Source organism: Homo sapiens, chromosome 5 (assembly GCF_000001405.40).
Source record: "Homo sapiens chromosome 5, GRCh38.p14 Primary Assembly".
In the NCBI taxonomy this organism is placed as follows: Eukaryota; Metazoa; Chordata; class Mammalia; order Primates; family Hominidae; genus Homo; species Homo sapiens.
In genome coordinates this window covers 31,958,099-31,984,302 of record NC_000005.10, presented here as the reverse complement: position 1 = coordinate 31,984,302, position 26,204 = coordinate 31,958,099, and the positions used below count along the sequence as shown (strand labels likewise).

The window sequence follows — 26,204 nt, the reverse complement described above, 5'->3', positions numbered from 1 at the left end:
GAATACACCTAAAGGCAAAGCAGGTGTGGTAACCAACTTTGACCCTCACAGCTGGATTTCATAGTATCAGAGATTGTTGTCAAGCTTCCAAACTTCCCTAGAACTCAGCAATGTAATAACGTGATCCCATGAAAACATCACTAATTTTGAACTGCTAAAAATAAAAGCAGATGCTTCCCTGTGTATTGAATACCCTTCCTGTGTAATACTGAGGCTTAGATGTTTGTGGTGTCAGCTGCCATCAGGAATTCTTGGCCTTGCAGCAGCGATTCCACTGGTGACAGCAGCGATAAATAACGATGCAGTGAAGTACTTTATCTGGACCTCACATGACTCAAATTTTAACACAGAAGGCTTGAGTTTTCCACTTAGGATCACTTGACTAGCTCTTTATTTAAGTAGGATAAAATGACTGGAGCTTTTTTGTCATTCTCCTCTGATCACTTTTCTTAATGCATTTGTTGGCTTCTCAATGCGAGGTCATCTTAGGTATATTTTTTAAACCTTAAAAGCAACTTCAAACAATATTTCTTTCAAAATTCTGGTTCTGAGCCCAGCTTGTATTTCCCGCATGGGCTGGGCTGCAAAAACAAACAAACACACACGATAAATAAAATTCTGGTTCCATAATCAAACCAAACCTTACCCGTGCCAGGCAGTCACTCGATTGGAAGTCCGTCTTCCCACCTTTTGAGAAGCGGCGTTTGTCATTGCTTGTGGTCAGAGGAGCATCTGTCTTTGGAATTCTATGCTCTGTCCCTCTGTCCACTTCTGACCTCTCTAGATGGGGTCCAGCCACCTCCTTGAGAGAATCTGGGCCATTTTCTAGCTGAAAGACATGGCCGTTTCCAAGTTCAGGGTCAGGGCCGTTCTCCAGCTCAGTGCTGGGGTCACTGGACACCTCACAGCCAGCGCTGCCCTTGGATTCTTCAGGGGCCTTGTTGGCAGGAGGCCTGGAGATGACCCCAAACTTTCTGGTTCGTTTCCCCTTTTTCGCAGTTCGGTCACCCAGCTCCAAGGTAGGTGTTTCTCCTGGTTCAGAGCTGTTGCTACTGTTGCCATTATAAGTGGAGTGGGCTTTGTGCTTAAAGCGACGCAGCATGATCAGGTAGATAAAGCCGCCATTCCAGCACTGCTCAGCCAGGTAACTGCAACAGACAGAGAGGTGCCAGTTAGAACCCCACACACCCTTCCTAGACAGCACAGCAGACAGACGCGTTCAAGGGTCCACCCAAGTGACGACCAGTTGGCCGATGGACTGAGGTATTGAGCTTCCTAAAGAGATTCAACACCCAATTCATTCTTTTCATCTATGTAATAATTGATACAAACAATTACCCCCAAACTCCCAAAACAAACACAAAACCCCATGAACTAGAAATGACTAATTTAAGTACCGTAGGATCAGGAGTTGGAGAAGGATTTTTCTAGGAACAGAGCCAATGCTAACATATCATTAAAAAATAAAATTCTTCTTCACTCCAACCATTTCTTGCATCGGAATTATGCTAGGCTCCCATCCATATAGTTCCAATGGAATAAAACTATGAGTCCCCAGGGTAAAGAATGGATAGAGTGGATTAGGGGAAGTATAAAGTTCTGCTCTTAGGAGCAAATAATCAACAGCACAACAATGGGAGCCTATGCCTCACTGAGTAGGGGTAACAGGTAATGACTGGTATTAAAAGCCAACTGATGGCTGGGTGCAGTGGCTCACACCTGTAATCCAGCGCTTTGGGAGGCCAAGTGGGCAGACCACTTGAGTCCAGGGGTTTGAGACCAGCTTGGGTAACATAGCGAAACCCCGTCTCTATTAAAAATACAAAAATTAGTCCGGTGTGGTGGTCCCTGCCTGTAATCCCAGCTACTCGGGAGGCTGAGGTGGGAGGATCACTTGGGCCTGGGAGACAGAGGCTGCAGTGAACCGAGATCACGCCACTGCATTCCAGCCTGGGTGACAGAGTGAGACCCTGTCTCCAAAAACACAAAACAAAACAAACAGGCAACTGGCTAAGTAGGCACTGGTGGCAACAGTACACTGTGTTGAATGAGGATCAGGCTCACGCCTTGGTAACAGTCCCAGTTTAGGCTGATCACAGCACACATGGAGTGTCATTTCCAGTCTGGACATCACATTAGGAGGATCACTGACAATGTGGAAAACACATAGACAAAGAAGGACCAGGACAAAAGGCTGTTGGAGACTGTGTCAACCAGGAACAGTCGGAGGAATAAAGGACGCTCAGCATGGAGAGGGGTCAGGGTCAGTCGCTTTTTCATATATGTGAGGGCTGGCAGGTATTTAGAAGCAGGAAGTAATACAAAGGAGATAAGGTATGTGAAGCATGACATGATAACTGCTCCAGATCTTAAAGAACGATAAGAAAATACAACATCAAATGAAATGAGTAATTAGGGGTATTCGGGACCGGATCATCAAAGCTTGGGCAAAGAAAACCCTTGTGCAAAGTCAGGAAACCAGGCTGGGCTGGACCCTCCACTCATGCTACCTAAGATAAAGCAGCACAAATCCCTGATGAACCCAGGACAACGCCTTCTCCACTGGAATCTTGCCACATTCTACACATCACTCGTTCCCAAGCAAAAGTGTCAACAACCAAATCCTTCACAAATCAGATCTGCTTCTGGACTTCTTATGCTCACGCAGCAAAAGCCTGGGGCTACATGCAATGCTGCCTCTGAAGAAATGATGACTGCAGGTAAACAGACATTAACATGCCTTCTGGGATCTTGTCAGCAGGGAAATCAGACCTGAGAGCTGGGGCAGTCATTACATTACATTGGAAGGAGGCCAGATCATCAAAGTCCTCCTCTCATCTCATAGTGAGCTTTCACTTAGGTAGCAGGCAAGGGAGCGGGAAGGAGAGGTGACCAGATGTGCTTGAAATGCACTAAATTCTGGCCCAAAGGCATATATTCCCCATACCTAATGGTCACGTTAATGGAATGACAGTGACTGTCTAATTAAAGGAGAGAATAATTCTGAATTTTTGCCATAGAATAAAGTGAACAACAACAACAAAAAAGGTGGGGGGTACTCATGACTCAAACATCAACCAAACCTTCTTTGATCCCAGGCTAGAAACCATGGTAGTAAACTTACATGTACAAAAACAGGCAGATAAAAGATACTGTACAGACGCCAGGTCACCGTGCAAAATACAGAGGGACAAAGAGGCATTAAGACCATCCACTAGGCCAGGTGCGGTGGCTCATGCCTGTAATCCTTGCATTTTGGGAGGCCGAGGCAGGAGGATAACCTGAGGTCAGGAGTTCCAGAACAGCCTGGCCAACATGGTGAAACCTCGTCTCTACTAAAAATACAAAAGTTAACCACAGGCATGGTGGTGCGCGGCTGTAGTCTCAGCTACTCAGAAAATTGAGGCACGAGAATCGCTTGAACCCGAAAGGCAGAGGTTGCAGTGAGCTGAGATCGCGCCACTGCACTCCAGCCTGGGCGACAGAGCAAGACTCCATCTCAAACAAACAAACAAACAAACACCATCCACTAGTCTCAAAAATAAAAATTGAACCTGTCTCTCAGCACAATTTTTCTATAACGTATAGATTTCATTTCTTTGCATTGTAAACATTTTTTCCATACTGGAAAAATCCTTGGAGAGGTATAAAATCCTAAAAGTAGGTAGCCAGGTTGTAAGATTTTCTTTCAGAAAAGCACTACTATTTAAATACATGTGCTCAGATGTCAACAAATCAGTGCAGGGCATAAACACAAGACTAGATTGAGAGTGGGATGCCCAAGTCCTCATTCTGGCTTTGACCTAACATTAAAACAATGGCAACAGTTTTCCATCACACCTGACAGCTGGGTCTTCCATTCCATCAACTGATGAACAGATAAACAACTGTTGATATATCCATATAATGGAATATTCTTTGTCAGTAAAAAAGGAATAAATTATATGCTACAACATGGGTGAAACCTGGAAACATTATGCAAAGTGAAAGAAGTCAGACCACAAAAAGCTACATGATTCCATTATATGACATGTCCAGAACAGGCAAATCCATAGAGACAGAAAGATTAGTGCTTGCCAGGAGCTGGGGGAGAGGGGAATTGGGACTCACTGCTAATAGATCCAGGGTTTTGTGGGGGTGAAGGAAATGTTCTGGAATTAGTGGTGACGGTTGCCCAACCCAGCACTAAAACTCACTGAAATGTACACTTTAAAATGGTGAATTTTCTGTTATGTGAATATGTCTCGGTTTTTAAAAAACAGTGAACATAGTATTATTGGGCAAATTTTGTGTTCCTAGTGAATACAGTATTATTATGGGCAAATTTTGAGTTCATTCTTTGAGTAGGTGCCTCATAGACACTATTTACCTAAGAACGGTCTTAACAGAAGATGAAACTGCAGCTTGGAAATATCAATCAGCTTGCCCAAGTTCACATCACTACTGAGCAGCAGATCCAAACCTGCCTGATTCCAAAGCCTATGCTCTGCCCACTGTGCAATTCTTTTTAAGTCACGGTCAACCCTGCACTTTAGTTTCCTCATCTGTAAAGTGAGGGTGTTAAAATGGATCATCTCATTTGTTTTCACATTCTAATAATTGTGAACACTAGTTTCCCAGGAAGAATTCTGGGGATAAGAGGAGCAAGTCATCCCAACAGTATTGATCTGGTGCACAGCACAAAACATAAACCTGGAAAAAATGATTTTTTTTTTTTTTTTTTGAGACAGAGTCTCACTCTGTTGCCCAGGCTGGAGTGCAGTGGCACAATCTCAGCTCACTGCAACCTCCAGCTCCTGGGTTCAAGGGGTTCTCCTGCCTCACCCTCCCGAGTAGCTAGAATTACAGGTGCCCACCACCATGCCCGGCTAATTTTTTTGTATCTTAGTAGAGATGGGGTTTCACCATGTTGTCCATGGTGGACAGGCTGGTCTGGAACTCCTGACCTCAGGTGATCCACCCACCTCAGGCTCCCAAAGTGCTGGGATTACAGGCGTGAGCTACCACTCTTGGCCAGAAATATTCATTTTATCTCCAAGTTGTCTTAGGCCTCTGAAACATTTACGATCATCCTGAAAAAGATTTAGCTCGGAGACAAAATTCATTTAAAATTGCTTTTTGGGAATCTACTTTTTATTAAATACGTTAAATCTCTAAACAACACGATGAGTGGTATGCAGAGACCTTTTCAGTACCAAAAAGTCTGGCCTATTGATTCAGAGTATAAGAACTTAGATATCTTTCTCCCCTGTACTCTCATGGAAGTTCCAAGAAACTTGGAAGGTGCCTGTGACTGAGACAGTATTTTACTTCTTCTGCAGGGTCCATTCTTGGCAAAATGACAAAGCCAAGAGGAGTTTATCTTGAGTTCAGCACCATCTCCCTGTCCTCTCCAGCTTCCTGGCAATAAATAAGACCCTGTCACCTTAAAGAAACTGTATGACAGGTTATTTTATTCCTTCCTGGACACTGAATTTTCTAAGGTCTTCCTGCAGACAAAGGGCAATGAATGAATTACGGATGCTGCAGCAAGCTGGTGAGAGACTTTAAATAGGGGGTATTTTCTTAGAATTCTTTTTTTTTTTTTTGAGATGGAGTCTCGCTCTGTCGCCCAGGCTAGAGGGCAGCGGTGCAATCTTGGCTCACTGCCAACTCCGCCTCCCGGGTTCACACCATTCTCCTGCCTCAGCCTCCTGAACAGCTGGGATTACAGGCACCTGCCACCACACCTGGCTAATTGTACTTTTAGTAGAGACGGGGTTTCACCATGTTAGCCAGGATGGTCTCGATCTCCTGACCTCGTGATCCGCCCACCTCGGCCTCCCAAAGTTCTAGGATTACAGGCGTGAGCCACCATGCCTGGCCATTCTTAGAATTCTTTAAACCACCTTCAACATGAGGCCTCCGCATTCTCCATCCATGTGTATTTAAATGATTTATGTAACTTTTCCAACCCCTTCTGACTATTTCATACATTCAAGTCCCTTTTTCTGTTCAGTAGGATCCTTACCCAGCATTAGAATCATTACAGTAAACTCTGAAGTCAGTATTTGAGAAAGAAATGGAATACAATCATGTCCTCTAGAAAAACAGAAGGCTTCCTCTCCATAAACAGGTATGGTTAGTCTTTCAGATGCTTCTCCATCACATATTTTTTTAATTTGCAATTTTCCTCTGGCATGCAAAATTATTAATTCAATTAAGATTTATTTGACTTTGACCTTTGCAGGATGACTTTAAGACAAATGGAAAGACCACAGTATCCAGAAATGCGGTTCTGAGTTTTAGCCTAGAACTTTCCCTCTGAAATCTATTGTAGTTCTCTTTAAGAGACACAGTCTCACTCTGTTGCCCAGGCTGGAGTGCAGTGGTGTGATTTCAGCTCACTGCAGCCTCCACCTCCCAGGTTCAAGTGATTCTCCTGCCTCAGCCTCCCAAGTAGCTGGGATTACGGGTGCACGCTACCATGCCTGCCTAATTTTTTGTATTTTCAGTAGAGACAGGGTTTTGCCATGTTGGCCAGGCTGGTCTCGAACTCCTGGCCTCAAGTGATCCGCCCGCCTCAGCCTCCCAAAGTGCTGGAATTACAGGAGCGAGGCACTGCGTCTGGCCAGTTGTAGTTCTTTACCTCACCAGGCCTATTCTGGACACATCACGTCCTCCTCCTTTTCCCGCAAAAGGTGCCTTATCTCAAAGAAAGTTTTGAGCAACTCCTCTGTTCCTTGATGCTCTATCATAATTCTGGAGTCTGGGCTCTCCAAGGGTGGGAGTCCTGGGAAGAGGTTGGCGGGTGAGGGTGGGGGCTTAGAACAGCTGGAGGAATAAAGCTGCCTGGAGTTTAAAGACCAAGAAAGACAAGAAAATAGATAAGAGAGGGCCAAATACAGGGAGATGTCAGAAAGCTGAAGACATACACAATTTATCTATGCCGGGATTCTATTAAAAGAGGGCTTGAGGCAGCTGTATAGTTTTGATATTTGACTGTTTTGCCAAAACCTTTGGAAGAAACAATTTCCAGGTACCTCTGAAAATCATCCTGGGCATTCAGCCATCAATTATTAATGCCTGTCACATAGTGTGAACCCATGGCGGGTACTGCCAAGCTGAACCATGGATGTCTATGTGTGCAATTCAAAGTAACTTGGGGCCAGACGCTGTGGCTGACACCTACAATCTCAGAGCTTTTGGAGGCCACGGTAGGAGGGTCGCTTGAGCCCAGGCGTTCAAGACCAGCCTGGGCAACATGGCAGGAAGCTGTCTCTACTTTAAAAAAAAAAAAACAAAACTGGCCAGGCGCGTTGGCTCACGCATGTAATTCCAGCACTTCAGGAGGCCAAGGCGGGTGGATCATGGGGTCAGGAGTTCGAGACCAGCCTGACCAACGTGCTGAAACCCCGTCTCTACTAAAAATACAAAAATTAGCCGGGCGTGGTAGCACGTGCCTGTAATCCCAGCTGCTCAGGAGGCTGAGGCAGGAGAATCGCTTGAACCTGGGAATCGGAGGTTGCAGTGAGCCAAGATGGCACCAGGGCACTCCAGCCTGGGCAACCGAGGGAGACTCTGTCACAAAAAAAAAAAAAAAAAAAAAGAAAGAAGAAAAAAAGGAAAAGAAAGAAACAAAAAAACAAAGTAACTTGTATCACCACCACTGGGCACTGGCTTGTACTACAATGCCATAAACACAAGAGAATTCTGAAGACTTTTCACCAAAGCAGGCACTCTTACTTCATCTGAGTATGTCAGGTCCCTACACAGACAACAGGAGAATAAACACCAACCACAAGGGGATGTTTACAGATGAGTTATTATGACAGGGTCTGAGTTTATAGGACAGTACTAGCTGCTAATAGTCACCTTGTTGGACACACAGGATGGACGGAGAGCAATTAATTGTTTGTGCCCAGGATTTTCCCTCCCCTAAGAAGTAATGGGAGGCTACAAAGCTGTTTGTGGTCTTTTGAAAACCTGCTAAGCCTAATTAACTCAGAGAACTGTCTGATGCTGTAAATCTACAGGTTCCCAGAGAACAACTGGTTGAGAGGAAGTGTTAAATCTATACAGATTAATTTCCCAGGGAAGTCCTAGCTGAGAAATGGGGGCAAGTTTGGACAGCTCCATAAGAGGGATGGGACCCAGGTTGCCAAGGGCACTCTCTCTCAGGTATCGCCTCCCTACTACACTGAATTTCCTCACAGATTCCAAAAGCCTCCCTAGACAGAGTCAAATTGTCCTTAGGGGACTCAAGGTGGAATTTTTTTGGCTGAATACTGTCTAGTAAGAGTGGCTGATATCCCAGCCTGAGCAGCATAGTGAGACTCCATCTCTACAAAAAATTAACAGGTGTGGTGGTGCACACCTGTACTCCCAGCTACTTGGGAGCCTGAGGCGGGAAGATCGCTTGAGCCTAGGAGGTCGAGGCTGCAGTGAGCCATGACTCTGCCACCTCACTCCACCCTTGGTTACAGAGTAAGACCTTGTCTCAAAAAAAAAAAAAATAAATAAAAAAAAAGTGACTGATACCTTCAGTGTGCTCATAATACCTTTCCTGAAGATAATCGATTTCTTTGCTAATAAAGAAAGGGAGAGAGAGCAAGCCAGGGCTTAGGCATATGAGACTTTGAAAACAGGTCAGAGTCTAGGCCTAGGAATAGATGTGACTAGAACAGTGCACTCCAACTGCTCGCTGAAGGAAGAGACTGAGGAAGTCACTACCAACTACTTCTCACCTCCTCTACTCAGCATAAATGGCTGGGGCTGAGCACCGCCTCCCTCCTCTCCCTTATCTGGAATCTAGAGCAGGGAATATGATATGGTTTGGCTGGGTGCCCACCCAAATCTCATCTTGAATTGTAGCTCCCATAATTGCCACATGTCATGGGAGGGACCTGGTGGGAGGTAACTGAATCATAGCAGTGGGTGTTTCCCGTGCTGTTCTCGTGAGAGTGAGTAAGTCTCACGAGATCCGATGGTTTTATAAAGGGAAATTCCCCTGCACATGCTCTCTTGCCTGCTGCCATGTAAGATGTGACTTTGCTCCTCATTTGCCTTCTACCATGATTGTGAGGCCTCCTCAGCCACATGGAACTGTAAGCCCATTAAACTTCTTTCCTCTATAAATCACCCAGTCTCGGGTGTGTCTTTATTAGCAGCGTGAAAAACTAATACAGAATACAAATAAACAAATATGTCTTCTTCATTACAAAATGTGTACATTTAATTATTGTTATCACAAAATTTAAATTGGGAGACACACGCTGAGTGAAGAAATAATTAGGGTAAATATTTATTCGAGATTTTTTTCTGACCAATGATACATTATTAGTCATTCACGCCCAATTCAAATTATCAACTACCAAATCTTGTTACCATTACATAGTTTATTGTTTGTTTCTGAGACACGGTCTCACTATGTCCCTGGAATGCAGTAGCACAATCATGGCTCACTGCAGCCTCAACCTCCCAGGCTCAAGCAATCCTCCTGCCTTGGCCTCCCAAAGTGCTGGCATTACAGGTGTGAGCCACTGCACCCAGACACCACATAGTTTAGCAGTGGAATTTAAGTCACACTCATCTATACACCAAGACAGAGGTCCATACTGCCCTGAAGGAACTGGGGCTTAGGAAGCCAGTGCAAATATGCTGATACTCTGGATACTGCTATTTCTGTCAGTAATGAACGTTTTTCATCTTTGAGCCAGGAGTCTGTCTTCTGCCGACATCCATAAAACTCTGGTGCATTAGCTTGGTAGCTTACGAGTAAAACCATAGTTCTCGATGTATAATGGGAAAATACACAAAATAAGTCAGTTTATAATTGGTCTTTTCCCCAACATTAAGCCTGTAAAAGGAGCTCAATGACATTCTATTCTTGATACCAATGATTAATATAAACCAATACGCATCTTAAAACTCAAACCAATATTGAAAATAATTTTTTTTTTCTTTTTTCTTTTTTGTGAGACAAGATCTCACTCTGTCGCCCAGCCTGAAATGCAGTGCTGCAAGCATAACTCACTGCAGCCAGCTGGGTGCGGTGGCTCAAGCCTGTAATCCCAGCACTTTTGGAGGCCAAGGTGGGCAGATCACCTGAGGTCGGGAGTTAGAGACCAGCCCGGTCAACATGGTGAAACCCCATCTCTACTAAAAATACAAAAATTAGCTGGGCGTGGTAGCGGGTGCCTGTAATCCCAGCTACTTGGGAGGCTGAAACAGGAGAATTGCTTGAGCCCTGGAAGTGGACACTGCAGAGCGCCAAGATGGCACCACTACATTCCAGCCTGGGTGACGGAGTGAGACTCTGTCTCAAAACAAAATGAAACAAAACAAAACAAACCTCATTGCAGTCTTGAACTCTTGGGTTCAAGTGATCCTCCTGCCTCAGCCTCCCAAGTGGCTGTGACTATAGGCGCAGGCCACCACTCCCAGCTAGTTTATTTTTTGTATGATAGAAATGGGGTCTTGCTATGTTGCCCAGGCTGGTCTCAAACTCCTAGCCTCAAGTGATTCTCCTGCCTCGGCCTCCCAAAGTTCTGGGATTACAGGCATGAGTCACTGAGTCCAGCTGAAAATAAACTTCTCTTTAAGAGAGAACAGAGGTAGAATTATATTAAGAGGAGTAAGAAAGAGATAGATATTTTACTCTATGATTGCATAACACTCTAACTAAATTCAGGATACCAGCTTCTAAGGCAGCAGCTACATTTGTGTCAATCAGCATTAAGTGTCCATCCTCCACCTTTCCCTGGTTAAATTCCACCTCTTGGCACTCATTGGACCATTAGCTGCAATATCCCTCTGTGCTGAAGCAGAGGTAGTTCTTTTTCTGTTTACTGCTAAGAGCTCCTAGATTTAAGGAGTACGAAGAGGGAGAACTACAGAAAACACCAGATAAAAAGCAGCTAAATGATATGATCAATGAAAAAAATTATTTTGATCTCCATGCAACAAAGTTTCACTTTCATATTGATCTTGAAAGTTCACATCTCGAACTATCATGAATGACTTAAATTTACACTCTTACAACAAAGTAACTCCACCAATATGATGCACTGCACATTTCAACTCCCATAAAGCATCACAGGAAGGGAATAACAGTATGGCCTTTCTATCACGTAAGCTTACATGAAGATTTGGTTTCCTCAAAGGTTTTCATGCACCTCCTTTCTTTATGAATCAATAAAAGCGTTTTACAGCACCCATACACCTGTTGGAAATAGGAACTCAGAAGCTAAATGAAGCAGAAAATTCTTGATCAACAATGAGAACTGATTTTATAAAACGTACTGCAGAGATACTGGCCCTAAAAAGAGAGAGAATCTCTAGGCTTCTATTTGCCAGTGATTGCATTTCTTTATTAAATTACTGTGAGTGGATCAAGGTTCCTTATAATTCTCTAAGATTTACCTGCAGTCTATACACAATCAAATTAGAACTCTAGACACACAGCTCTACCACACAACTTATCTTGATGAGGTTTGCCACATTTTCCTGGAGGGGTGGTACAACAGGGAGTGGTGGGAGTCAGACTTTGCTGTACATGATTGAGTCAGTCTCACCTCATCAGGGAACTGAGGAACATCAGAACACATATGTAGGAACTCATTTCACTTTTCTTCCTCTTGACATGATGCTATTTTTGTTCATAAAATTACTAGTTGTTCATTACAAATTCACTCACTCATTATTCATTCAAATAGTTACTGAATAACTACTACAAGCCAGGCACTGTTATAGGCATTTGAGGACACAGAAGTGAACCAAGATTCCTGTCTTTGTGGAGCTTACAATCTAGTGGGGCAAACAGACATGATACACCTATTAAAGTAAGCATCCATCTATAAGGTGTGTTAGAAAGTGAGATGGGCTACAAGAAATAGAAAACACTGAAAAGGCTGGGTGCTGTGGCTCACATCTGTAATCCCAGCACTTGGGGAGACTGAGGCGGGTGGATCATTTGAACTCAGGAGTTCAAGATCAGCCTAGGCAACATGGTGAGACCCCATGTCTATAAAAAATACAAAAATTAGGCAGGTGCAGTTGTGTGCACCTCTGGTCCTAGCTACTTGGGAGGCTGAGGCTAGAGAATCGCTTGATCCTGGGAGGCAGAGGCTGTAGTGAACCAAGACTGCGCCATTGCACTCCAGCCTGGGCAATGGGAGTGAAACCCTCAACGAAACACTGAACAGGCTACAAAGGTTCCAGCATGCAAAGGGTTGGAAGTCAGGTTGAAATTTTAAATTCTGCAGTTAGAGTAGCCCCACTGGGAAGAATACATTGAATAAAGACTTGAAGAAGGCAAAGAGTTGGCCGTGCAGCTACCTGGGAGAAGAATGTTCCAGACAGAGGGAACAGCCAGTGTAAAAGTGGTAAACTGGAATCATACCTGCTGTGTTGGAGAAACAGCAAGGAGGCCTTTGTGGCTGAAAAGTAGTGAGTGAGGAGTAATAGGAGTTAAGTTAGGAGAGGTAACAGAGACCCATTTATGCAAAGACTTCTAGGCTGTTGTTAAAGACCTTTGTGCAAATGGGGAGCCACTGAGTTTTGAGCAGAGGAGGAATGTGAAATGTATTATGTTTTAATATGACCCCTTTGTTTCTGTGTTGGGAATAGGTTAGAAGCAGAGACCAGAGAGAATAACATCTACAGGAATTCCAGTGAGGGAAAAGGTGGCTCACTGTAGAATAGCAGTGAAAATGGTAAGAAATGGCCAAAATCATCATCAATTATGAAGCTAGAGACAACAGCTTTTGCTTTTTGATTGGATATGGGATGTGAGGAGTCGAGATGGTACTATGGTTTTAGTGTATGTGTCCCTCCAAAATCCCAGTGTTGGAACTTAAATCCCAATGTGATAGCATTAAGAGGTGAGGCATTTAGGATGTAATTATATCATGGGGCCAGAGGCCTCGTGAATGGGATTAGCTACCTAATAAAAGGACTGGAAGAACTAGCAAGGCCTTTTCTGCTCTTCCATTCTTCCTACTGTAAGAGGACACAGCGTTTATCCCCTCTGGAGGATGGAGCAACAAGGTGCTATCTTGGAAGCAGAGCCCACACCCTTACTAGACACCAAGCTTGCTGGTGCCTTGATCTTGGGCTTCCCAGCCTCCAGAACTGTGAGAAATAAGTTTCTGTTTTCATGAATCACCCAATCTGTGGTATTTTTGTTATAGCAGCACAAATGGACTGAGACAGGTGGTGTCTAGGTATCTGAGCACCTGAAAGGATGGAGTGAGCAGTCATCACCTGAGGCTGTAGAGCAGCTTTCTGGGGAAGGGTCTATCTGACCTATTCTGAATGCATAGATCTATTCAGAAGTTCTGGACACCTTGAGTTTGAGGTGCTCATGTGGTAGTTGTGAGGCAGCTGGATATCTGAATGGATTTGGGAGCAGCAGACTGGTCCGAAGATAAAAGTGTGCAAAGTGTCAGCATGTTGATGGTGAAGTCTCCTGAAGATAAATACCTTTAGGGGGATTTCCTAGGTCAAAGGTCTTACTGGATCATAAGCACATTCAAATTCTTTCATATGTACTGCCAATCTTTCCTTTAGCAAGAGGGTGACAATTTAGAATCCCATCAGTGGTGTCTTAGAGAACCCATGTGTTCCTGAATATTGTCACTCTTTTTTTTTTAATTATTTATTTTTGAGGTGGAGTCTCACTCTGTCACCCAGGCTGGAGTGCAGTGGCGTGATATCGGCTCACTGCATCTTCCACCTCCCAGGTTCAAGCAATTCTCCTGCCTCAGCCTTTGGAGTAGCTGGGATTATAGGCACCCACCATCATGCCCGGTTAATTTTTGTATTTTTAGTAGAGACAAGGTTTCTTCACGTTGGCCAGGCTGGTCTCGAATTCCTGACCTCAAGTGATCTGCTCACCTTAGCTTCCCTAAGTGCTGGGATTACCAGCGGGAGCCACTGTGCTCTTCTGACTCTTTACAATCTTGTCACTCTTGTCGCTCTTTATAATCCTTGCCAGTCTAATAACCAAAATCTACCTCACTTTACTTCAAATCCACAAGTCAGTGATGACTACTGAGGTCAAAATTCTTAGTAGTCATTTGTCTTGAGAATTGCCTATTTTTGCCCTTTGTAAAACTATTTAGTCGGGCCGGGCGCGGTGGCTCACGTCTGTAATCCCAGCACTTTGGGAGGCCGAGGTGGGCGGATCACCTGAGGTCAGGAGTTCGAGACCAGCCTCAACATGGAGAAACCCTGTCTCCACTAAAAATACAAAATTAGCCAGGGGTGGTGGTGCATGCCTATAATCCCAGCTACTCGGGAGGCTGAGGCAGGAGAACTGCTTGAACCCGGGAGGCGGAAGTTGCGGTGAGCCGAGATCACACCACTGCACTCCAGCCTGGGCAACAAGAGCGAAACTCCGTCTCAAAAAATAAATAAATAAATAAATAAACTATTTAGTCTGTGCACCCTCATGCACCAGCACAGTGGCGGCACCACAAAAAAATGCTGGTCCATGAAAAGATCCATTAAAAACAAAAAAAGAGACTCTTTAAAAGATGACTTTACTGAGGCATATCCAACATATATAATTCATCTGTTTCAAAGGTATAATTCAGTGATTTTTAGGAAATTTACCAAGTTGTGTGACCATCACCATAAATCAGTTTAGGACATTTTCATCACTCTAATAAGATCCCTCATGCCCACTTCACAGTTAATGCCCATTCTAATCCCAGCCACCACTTTCTATCTCTAGAGCCACTTACCCCCTACAAAATCTCAATTTGTGAGAACATATCCATTGTTTTTTTTTTTTTTTTTTTTTTTTTTGGAGAGGGGGCCTTGCTCTGTCACCCAGCCTGGAGTACAGTCGTGTAATCTCAGCTCACTGCAACCTCTGCCTCCCAGGCTCAAGCCATTCCCCCACCTCAGCCTCCTGAGTAGCTGGGACTACAGGTGTGCACCACTATGCAATAGCTAATTTTTTGTATTTTTGGTAGAGACAGGGTTTCACCATGTTGCCCAGGCTGGTCTCGAACTCCTGAGCTCAAGCGATCTGCCCACCTCAGCCTCTCAAAGTGCTGAGATTACAGGCATGAGCCATCGTGCCTGGCTGAACATGTCCTTTTGGTGTTATCTTTCTCACTTTCCTTCTCACTTTCCTAACATGCCCCATTACCCTGAAGAGACAGATCTCATAGTCCCGCTAGCATCTCACACATCCCTTCCCCTCACATCAGTCCAGTGAGTATCTACCATTCCATTTAGTTTAGGCCATGAATCCCCTGGTGGCCCCTTCCACCTCCAAAGCATCCTCTCCACATTATTCCCACCATTCCAACGTCACAAATCAACTCCACTTTGTCATCATGCAACCAAGTCTTTCCTCATTAACAAAAGCTCCAAACACTGCTAAAGTAATAGTATATGACATGTTTTCGTTTTTATCTATCCAGGCTGCTGTAACAATTACTGTAGGCTGGGTAGCTTATTAACAACGGAAATTTATTTCTCACAGTTCCGGAGGCTGAAAGTTCAAGATCAAGGTGCAGCAGACTTGACGTGTGGTGAGGGCCACTTCCCATTTCACTGATGGCGCCTTTGTGTTTTGTCTTCATATGGTGGATGAAGTAAAGGAGCTCTCTGGAGTCTGGTTGTTTTTTTTGTTTGTTTGTTTGTTTTTTGAGACAGAATTTCGCTCTTGTTGCCCAGGTTAGAGTGCAGTGGTGCAATCTCGGCTCACCCCAACCTCCCCGCCTCCTGGGTTCAAGCAATTTTCCTGCCTCAACCTCCCTAGTAGCTGGGATTACAGGCATACGCCACCATGCCTAGCTAATTTTGTATTTTTAGTAGAGACAGGGTTTCTCCACGTTGGTCAGGCTGGTCTCGAATTCCCAACCTCAGGAGATCCACCCACCTCAGCCTCCCAAAGTGCTGGGATTATAGGCGTGAGCCACCGTGCCCAGCTTGTTTTTTGTTTTTGAGACACAGTCTCACTCTGTCGCCCAGGCTGGAGCACAGTGGTGCGATCTCGGCTCACTGCAACCTCTGCCTCTCGGGTTCAAGCCATTCTCCTACCTCAACCACCCGAGTAGATGGGATTACAGACATGCACCACCACGCCTGGCTAATTTTCGTATTTTTAGTAGAGATGGGGTTTCACCATGTTGGCCAGGCTGGTCACGAACTGAAGTCTCTTTTATAAGTGCACTAATCCCATTCATGAAGGCACCACCCTCATGATCTAATCACCTCCCCAAGGCCTCACCTCCAAATACTTTTGCATGGGGGATTAGATTTCAATATGTCGATTCCGGGTGGAGAGACCATTCAGTCTATAGCAGTTGTGTATGCTAATATATTCATGTTACCATGCAATCATATCAACTGCATTTTATTTTTTACTTTCTCTATGTATTTGTGTCCAAATCTCTCTACTTTCTTGGCCCAGCTCATGTGCTAATAAGCTTCCAAACCTCCCCTGTGCCCTGCTCCCTGGACCAGCCAAAAACATGTATTTCCTATCACAGGGGGCTTTGCTATGACTTGTCCTTCAGAGCTGAAGATTGCCCAGGGCTGAAAAACAGAAAATCCAGGGCATCCTCCTCCCCAAGTCTTCAGCCCTGCCAGGTGCACTGCCCGTGGCAATTCCTGTGCTTTCCTACACATAGCAGTGCCCTTAGCCTTGCCTTGGAAGAGGCTACTATCAACGCCCAGGGATAACTGAGGGCAGACCGTATCTCAGAGATTATGTCTGATGTATCTTCTAACCTCAAGGCCACCACACCCTGAAAAGTGTGTCAAAGATGATCTAAGGGCTGAGTTGCACACTGCCCCTGCCACATCTCCCATGTTCCTCCACTGTGAGAGCTGCTGGCACATTTGCCATTTCTGCCTGACTTTCTCCAAACCAGCCAAATCCAACAGGTCACAACGGGCCAGTAAGTAATCCTCAAGCCCGCATAGTGCAGCATCCAAAAGGCGGCCACTCTCCTTACCTTCCTCAGAGGTGACTCTAAAAGAAGGCAGATTCCCGTGGGTCCATGTATCTCAGAAGGCACTTGATGCTCCTCACACACAAATTCAAACATTGACGGCATGTCTGTACCCTCCAGTTCCCTTCCCTTTCAAGTGGATCCAGCTCCATCTTGAAACAATTTCCCCAGCTTGCCTCAATTCTTCCCAGCGTCCGCTCCATTCCCTGGGCCAGAGCCTGCTTCCACCTTGTGCCAAGCCTGGTTTCACTTATGTCAAAACAGCTTCCATCAAAATAGTGGGCTTCTTTTCTGAATTTACTTCACAATTTTGAAACCAGCAGAGAAAAGATATTCAAGAAATTGCAAAAATGACTATCCCCATCAACATGTTCTGGCTAAGGTCACGCACTGTTCTCCTGAATCTCTTCTCTACAGTGTACGGAGCATTTTTGAAGATCTGATTTTCTCTTTCTTTTCAGAGGCTCTGTGGCAGGCAGGCTGGTGGGGCCGGCAAGTCCCCTAATCTACGATGGCTCATGCAGACTGGCTTGCTAAGTTCTGTGACCTTCCTCCCCAAGCAAAGGATACTCCTTAGAAGCCAAGTTAGTCGGATATTTTCCCTGTTGTTCATCTGTCTTCACAATTCTTTCGAATTTTTCCTCTTGGTTTATAGGACTTTGATTACAAGAAAACTAAACCAACAGAACCCTGGCCTAGAAAAACGGATAAGCCATGTCTTTACAGATGTTGACAGAGCAACTTTTAAGTCTTGGATTCTGATCAGTGCACTCTTCATGGGTCTGTTGACAACTGAAACTGTGATGGGTTCAATCTCTCTGCGACCCCTGGTTCTCAGTTATATTCAGACAGGAAAATGCAGAGGCATTTGAATTTATCTACTGGGATTTAATTTAAAAATAATGGTAAGTGAAGCATTAAGGAAACCCTAAATTGTTGGATGCACAAACACAAATGTTGAAAATGCAAAGCTTGCTTTTAATGGTATGTTTATTTTAGGAGTTCCAAAAACTAACGTGGGTTTTATAAAAGACATGGGGGGAGGTACAATATTAACTACAGTACCTATAGTCTGTGTACTGTGTTAACTGCACACACACATCAGCTCATTTCAATCTAAAACAACCCTACCAAGGTAGAATTCATAATCTGTCTTTTAAAGGTAAGAAAACTGAGGTTTAAAGAGATTAACTCGCCCAAGGTCAGAAAGCTGAAAACAGTAGAGCTGGGATTCAACTCTGCCTCTGTCTGATTCCCAAAAAACAAAACAAAAACCCTTACCATGACCTTGGGATTCCCTATGCCAAAGTCCCATCCTAATGCTGCTCATCATGACCAGGTTTGGATGAGGAGAAGGGCTGCAGCTTCAAACAACCCAAGGAGGACTTGCCCCACTTTAACTTGATAAAGGATTGCATTTTAAGTGTTTTGGTTGGTGTTTTTTTTTGGAGACGGAGTTTCACTCTTGCCCAGGCTGGAGTGCAATGGTGCGATCCAGGCTCACCGCAACCTCTGCCTCTTGGGTTCAAGTGATTCTCCTGTCTCAGTCTCCCGAGTAGCTGGTATTATAGGTGTGTGTGCCACCATGCCTGGCTAATTTTTTGTATTTTTTAGTAGAGATGGGGTTTCGCCATGTTGGTCAGGCTGGTCTTGAACTCCTGACCTCAGGTGATCCACGTGCCCTGGCCTCCCAAAGTGCTAGGATTACAGGAGTGAACCACTGCGCCCAGCCGAAGTTTCCATTTTTAAAGCAGCTCCAGAAAGCAGTTTCTTGTAAAGCCCTAGCTCTTAGAGCCGGTAACCTTTGATATGCAAATACAGGCCATTAGAAACTGGGTCTACCCAAACATGGCGATTCTCACTGTTGTCTTCTTGCCCTTGCCCCACACGTGCCTGGCAACATATCCCCCCGTGTGTAGAACATCATGGTGCCCTGTATTTGCATATTAAAAGGCTAGGGTGAGAGGGCCAATGTTTTTGCAGGTTACATGAATGACATGTCTGGTCAAACCAATCCCCTGTGCCCTATGCAAATCAGACACTGCCTCCTCCAGCCTCTACACATACCTGGCTGGTTTCCACCCCACTTGGGGGTCTCTTCTTTTGGCTTTGGAGCTCTCCTCCGTCTCTGTATGGGAGAGCCTCTTCCTTCTGCTTTCTCTTTTCTTTCTTGCTTATTAAACTCTCTACCACTCCTTAAAACCACTCCACGTGTGTCCGTGTCGTTTTATCTAATTTGACTGGAGAGGAAGAACCTGGTGTTGCTCCACTCATCGGAGCCCTATCAGTATTAGGTTGGTGCCATTAAAATGGCAAAAAAACTGGCCGGGCGCGGTGGCTCATGCCTGTAATCCCAGCATTTTGGGAAGCGGAGGTGGGCGGATCACGAGGTCAGGAGATCGAGACCATCCTGGCTAACACGGTACAGTGTAAACCCCGTCTCTACTAAAAATACAAAAAAATTAGCCGGGCGTGGTGGCGGGTGCCTGTAGTCCCAGCTCCTCGGGAGGCTGAGGCAGGAGAATGGCGTGAACCCGGGAGGCGGAGCTTGCAGTGAGCCGAGATCGCGCCGCTGCCCTCCAGCCTGGGCGACAGAGCGAGACTCCGCCTCAAAAAATAAAAATAAAAAAAAGGCAAAAACCGCAATTAGTTTTGTACCAACCAAATATTTCCCAAAAAGGAGATGGTGGGAAGTAACAGTCGTCAAAACAGGCTGGTCAGGAATGGACAGGACTTAGCTAATCTGATGTAAAAGAAGATGGTGGAGGCATATTTGGGAAGCCAGGTTGGATGAAAGGCATCCACAAAGATTTCTGTTCAATCTGTGGGCTGGTAGTGGGAAAAAAACAACAAAAAAAGGCCCCTTCCGATTAGGACTCTCTGTCCCTAATACCTAAAAAGCTTTATCCAAATTCATCTGAATATTAACTATCTGGTGCAAGATTATCCTTTGTTCAGGTCTCAGCACTGCCATTTGGGCCCTTGGAAAAGCCATATAACTTCAGAGATGAGTCCCTCAGGCTCATCTACCTACAGGAGGCTTCAATGGGATAATGGACTCAGATGGTGGGATTCCCACCTGCCACACAGTAAATACCAATTACCGTTAGTTCCTTTCTCAGTCAGAAATGTTCTGAGTAATCAGAGGTCAACTAGTTAAACTGGTCTGCTGTGACTGTCCAGGCTGGAAGCCCTGAAAAGTGAACTCACACAGGGTGGTGGGTCCAAACACGTTCTGTGGTAGGAGTGGGACAAAAGGAACTGTAGCCATGTCTGGAAAAAAAGTATCTCTGGAAAAATCAAGTTCACATGAACAGGCAGAGAGTCAGAAATGGACTCTAAAACTCGAGGGCTGGAAAGCTGGGGCAAATGTACCCTAGAGGCAGAGCCCCTGCTGGCCCCTTGAGGCAAAGACGTATTGTGAGGGCTGGGTGGGCCTACATCATGGCATTGAGAAGGATGGGGGTGTGTGTGGGCATGCCTGGGTGCTGGGCATTGGGGGATTGAGCTAGTATAGACCCTAAGCACAGAGTGGGGCTAACTGCAAGCCACGCTCTTCTGCCAGAGAGAGATGAGACAGATGTTTTTCAAAATACAGACCAATGTTGGACTCTTGTTTTGCTTCCCGGTCCATCAGCTGGAGTCTGACTCTTAACTCCCAGGAAAACAGAACGCCTTCTGGCCTGACCTGAACTCCGAGGATGATCCCAGAGGTCCTGGAATTGCCCCAAGACTCAAGGTGGAGCCTGGGAGGCTGCCCATCCCAGCGAGGCTGCGGGATCAGCTGACCCCTGAATATTCTGTAAAACATGCAGGCTAGGCTGCTCCCACGGACACAAGCAACTACCACGAATAAATCAGATGTACGTGTGTGTGTGTGCACAGCCCCCGCCTCTCCCAGCACCCACCCTGTTCTGGCCTACCGGTCAGAAAAGCTGCTTTCTTATCTTCCCTCCATTTGTCACAAATATTTGGGCAAAAGCCCTTCCTTTTGGCTCATCTGCCTCCTTTAAAAGGAAAAAATCAAGTTTTTCCCTTTCCTGAGGCAGGAGTTTCAAAAGCTCTGTTGTGGTAATATTAAATGTTTAAACATATTACAATGCCATTAGTCAGTCAACATTGTGATGGTTTTTAAATGTCAAGAGAAGGTCTCTGCAGACATCAAAGTCCAGCTCTGGGAGAAAATGCCCACAGCATGAATAGCTGGGGCCTCTGCTCTTGTCTGGCCTGACTTCAGAGGTATGAGCAGGTATGGGCTTTTGAGCCACAAACATGTTTTAGAGTACTAGGAACTCACTTCATTACCAAGTGTTCTCAGCAGGAAATAACAGGCAGACAGCACACACTAGACTTGGAACCCTCCTATTTAGAGAAAACGGAAAGCATCCAAAAGCAAAATCAAAGCCAGGGCCTGCATGGAAAAACAAACACCGAGAAAAATTATTTCTTGAACTTCACACCGGGAAGAGTGTGATCTGGAAGAATCTGGAAGGGGACAGAAACAAAAGCATTTGAACAGAGGAGTTCCTTAAATCTCTGGGTGGGGTAGGGAGGAAACCTTGATAAGAGAGTTTTCCCTTGTGGCACTGTTCCCTTGAGACTCACAAATACTCTTCACAGATACAGGGGCATCCCAACTTGTTCTAGCTCCCCAGGCTGGGGTGCAAACCACACTCCTTCTCCGTGCAGATTGGAGCTTTATGCGGGTGGCAGCAGTCCCAGTTCAGGACTTGAGATACACAATTCACCAGATGCTTAACAGGCTCAAAATAGGTTCCAGGGGAGGCCCAGGACACTGCACTGCCAAGGGCAGAGCACCACTCAACCACGGGGTTCTTGCTATTAACACTTCACACCCTGACTCTCTGCAGACATTTCCTCCTAAGAGACTCGTTGCCGCCCTCTGAGACAAGCTCTTCAGGCCTGCTGAGAGTGTCAGGTGAGATTTATTTATTTTCCCTTCCTGTCCAACTTCCCTAAAGGATTTACGTATTGGCACCACCTGTTCTCAAAAGGGACGGCCTCCAGGTACTTTGGGTTTGAGCAAAAGGAGAGGAGTTAAAGGAAAGACTGCTAAAAGTCAGAAATGACTTAAAGGAAAGAGAAGTTAAGATACACAAGCAGATCTGTGGAAAATGTCAACACTATTTCTTAAGAGAAGAGCTGAAAAAGGGGGTTCTTTAAATCATCAGGCACAAAGTTTATAAGGTCCAATTTCATTGGGAACATCTTCAAAAAACAAATGTGTGGCTAAGTCTAAAGGACCCTTACAAGGCCCTTTCATATGGCTAAAGTTCCAAATCAGAGACTATTGATACCCTGTCTAAAGAAAATTTGTTTTTAAAATTTAGATGACCCAATTCTCTCTCTACCTGGAGCCAGGGTGGTGGATAGAAGGTGGGAGGGAAAGGGTAAAAAAAAGCAGCTGAGACTAGGCTTGGTGGTTCCTGCCTGTAATCCCAGAATCTGGGAGGCCAAGGTGGGCGCAGCCTAGCCAACATAGTGAAACTTTGTCTCTACTAAAAATACAGAAATTAGCCAGGCGTGGTGGTGGATGCCTATAATCCCAGCTAGTTAGGAGGCTGAGGCAGGAGAATCCCTTGAAACCGGAGGCAGAGACTGCAGTGAGCCGAGATTGCGCCACCACACTCCAGCCTGGGCGACAGAGCAAGACATCGTCTCAAAAAAACAAACAAACAAAACAAAGCAACTGAGAGGAAGAACAAATAAGAAAAGTGAGCTTCCTTATGCTATTCTTTTCTTAAATCTCAATAGGATCAATGAATGAAGCTGTATTGTATTTTATTTTTTGAGACAGGATTTCACTCTGTTGCCCAGGTTGGAGTGTATGGTGTGATCACAGCTCACTGCAGCCTCGACCTCCTGAGCTCAAGGGATCCTCTCACTTCAGCTTCCCTAGTAGCTGAGACTACAGGTGCACACCATCATGCCTGGCTAATTTTTTTTTTTTTTTTTGTAGAGACGGAGTTTCGCCATGTTTCCCCAGCTGCCCTCAAACGCCTGGTCTCAAAGTGAACTGCCAGCCTCGGCCTCCCAAAGCGCTGGGATTACAGGCAAAGGAGCTGTATTTTAAATGCCCTGCCTCAGATTTCAAGGCAATGTAGACATCCCTCAGACAACACAAAATCCAACCATTGATCTTTTCCCTGCTTTGTGGGACATGAAGGCTGAATAAAGAAAACACATAACTCCCCCAGCCTGCATCCCCAAAAGGGGAATTCCTGATAAGGCAGTCAATAGCAGACCTAGAAGGGGGTCAGTCTTGTGCTGAGGAGCAGATTTTCTCTGAAAAATTAAAGTGATGTTATAAAGAGAATATGGTTCAAAAATTGAGTGATGGCATTGGGCTCAGTGCTGGTACAAAGCAATGAATAAGTCAGTCGGTCCCTACACCCTCACAGAGTTTACAGTCAATATGTAATTCATTAAAAGAATTATACACATTTGTTAACAAAATTATACTTTATATAAAATATTACATAGCATAAAATATTAAATAGAATGTACAAAATATATAATATAAATTTACATTACGTAAATGAAAAAAACAACACTAATTATATGAAGAATGCTTCAACAGAAGCACGGGTTACTTCAGAAGCTTATAAAAGGGGGACTGGCTTGCTTTGGGGGTAGATGTGGATAGCAAGGTTTTCCTTAGGAAGTGGCAGTGGTTCGTGGTCCAGCAGGAGTTAGCTAAGCTGGGAGGAGGTGAAGGCACAGGATCTAGGTGGAGGAGAGAGGAGAGTGGGTTAGGACTATGAATTCTAACTCTGCCTCCAACTGGAAATGGAGGAGTAGAAAGCATCTGGGTTGGCCGGGCACCGTGGATCATGCCTGTAATCCCAGCATTTTGGAAGGCCGAGGCGGCAGACCACCTGAGGTCAGGAGTTCGAGACCAGCCTGACCAACTGTGTCTACTGAAAATACAAAATTAGCCGGGCGTGGTGTAGTGGTGTAATCCTGTAATCCCAGCTACTCAGGAGGCTGAGGCAGAAGAATCTTCTTGAACCTGGGGGGTGGAGGTTGTGGTGAGCCGAGATCGCGCCATGGCACTCCAGCCTGGGCAACAAGAGTGAAACTTCGTCAAAAAGAAAGAAGGAAGGAAAGAAGGAAGGAAAGGAAGGAAAGAAAAGGAAGGAAGGAAAGAAAAGAAAGCAAGCAAGCATCTAGGTTGAACAGCACCCCTCCTAAAATTCCTGTCCACCTGAAACCTCAGAATGTGACCTTGTTTGGAAACAGGGTCTTTGAAGATATAATTAGTTAAGGATCAAGAGGAGATCATCCTGGATTAGGGCAGCCCCTAAATCCAATGAGTGTGTCTTGATAAGAGAAAAGGACAGGCAGAGATAGAAAAAGGTGATGTGAAGATGGAGGTAGAGACTGAGGGATGTGTCTACCAGCCGAGAAATGCCAGGAATGCCTCCAACCACTAGAAACTGAGAGAGAGGTATGGCCAAGTGGGTTTCTCCCTCAAAGCCTCCATAAGGAACCAACCTTGCTGACCACTTGACTTCAGACTTCAAGTCTCTAGAACTGTCAGAGAATACTTTGTATTGTTTTAAGCCATCCAATTTGTGGTGGTTTGCTATGGCTGTCCTAGAAAGGTAACATAGGCTTCTTCCCTCGCTTTAGATTTTTCCAAGCTTTATTGACTCTTGAACTTTCACAACAGGCCAGGTGCAGTGGCTCATGCCCGTAATCCCAGCACTTTGAGAGGTCGAGGTGGGAAGATCTCCTGAGGTCAGGAGTTCGTGGCCAACATGGTGAAACCTTGTCTCTACTAAAAATACAAAAATTAACTGGGAGTGGTGGTGCATGCCTGTAATCCCAGGTACTTGGGAGGCTGAGGTAGAAGAACTGCTTGAACCCAAGAGAAGGAGGTTGCAGTGAGCTGAGATCATGCCACTGCACTCCAGCCTGGACAACAGAGTGAGACTCTGTCTCAAAAACAAACAAACTTTTCACAATAAGTGGTCTTGTACAACCCTAAGACCTGTTAAAAATAACATATTGCATGATTATATAACAAAGTCATTTTAAGTTAATATATTATTTTATATATATATATAAATATATATATTAAAGTGCTTTGCCAGGCGCAGTGGCTCATGCCTGTAATCCCAGCACTTTGGGAGGCTGAGGAGGGCGGATCACAAGGTCAGTAGTTGAAGACCAGCCTGGCCAATATGGTGAAACCCTGTTGCTACTAAAAATACAAAAATTAGCCGGGCATGGTGGCACACGCTTGTAGTCCCAGCTACTTGGGAGGCTAAGGCAGAAGAATCTCTTCAACCTGGGAGGCGGAGGTTGCAGAGAGCTGAGATCACGCCACTGCACTCCAGCCTGGGTGACAGAGCGAGACTCCATCTCAATCAATCAATCAATCGAGTGCTTTAAAGGCCGGGTGGCTCACGCCTGTAATCCCAGCATTTTGGGAGGCCAAGGCAGGAGGATCGCTTGAGGTCAGGAGTTTGAGAAGAGGCTGGGCTACAAAATGAGATCACCATCTATACAAAAGATGTTATTTAAAAAATTAGCTGGGTGCTGTGGCATCCATCTGTAGCACCAGCTACTTGGAAGGCTGAGGTGGGAGGATTGCTTGAGCCTAGGAGGTCGAGGCTGCAGTGAGCTGTGATTGCACCACTGCTCTCCAGCCTGGGTGAAAGAGCAAGATCCTATGACGGGGGCGGGGTGGAGTACTTTAAAACTTGTCTTTAAAACTAATAATAAATAAAATGCAGTACAGTCCTTAACAATATCAAGATAAGCCAGCTGTGGTGGCTCACACCTGTAATCCCGGCACTTTGGGGAGGCTGAGGCAGGTGGATCACTTGAGGTCAGGAGTTCGACACCAGCCTGGCCAACATGATGAAACCCCATCTCTACTAAAAATACAAAAATTAGCTAGGCGCAGTGGCAGGCACCTGTAATCCCAGCTACTCAGGAGGCTGAGACAGGAGAATCGCTTGAACCCAGGAGGCAGAGGTTGCAGTGACCTGAGACTGCACCACTGCACTCCAGCCTGGGCAAAAGAGTGAGACTCCGTCTCAAAAAAAAAAAACAAAAAGCAAACAAAAATATCAAGATAATTTCCTCTATTTCACAAATGATGCCTGCCATTTCATTTACTTCAGATTAATACGTAAGACCAAAGATGAGCTACTAAAATGTAAATATATATCACTTAAACATATTAAATGTGTACATTTTTAAAATTCTAAG

The 26,204-nt window shown here is 45.1% G+C and overlaps 1 protein-coding gene across 8 annotated transcripts in view, besides 1 other annotated feature; it reads right to left on the bottom strand.

Moving 5' to 3' along the window:
• PDZD2 (PDZ domain containing 2) overlaps positions 1 to 26,204 on the bottom strand; it is a 471,802-nt gene that overhangs the window by 126,630 nt on the left and 318,968 nt on the right. For 6 of the 8 annotated variants that reach the window (XM_005248269.5, NM_178140.4, XM_011513992.3 and 3 more), the window contains one exon: positions 647 to 1,148. In XM_005248269.5, the coding sequence (XP_005248326.1) occupies positions 647 to 1,148 (502 nt within the window). Of the gene's footprint in view, positions 1 to 646; positions 1,149 to 26,204 lie in introns of those variants that run through there. The other 2 variants (XM_006714460.3, XM_047416965.1) reach the window with 1 other exon arrangement.
• Positions 18,560 to 19,061: an enhancer, noted in NCBI's record as "NANOG hESC enhancer chr5:31965348-31965849 (GRCh37/hg19 assembly coordinates)". NCBI's record gives its function as "activates a minimal SCP1, AML or CMV promoter by ChIP-STARR-seq in primed H9 embryonic stem cells {active_cell/tissue: H9 hESC(primed)}" and the evidence as "EXISTENCE:reporter gene assay evidence [ECO:0000049][PMID:30033119]".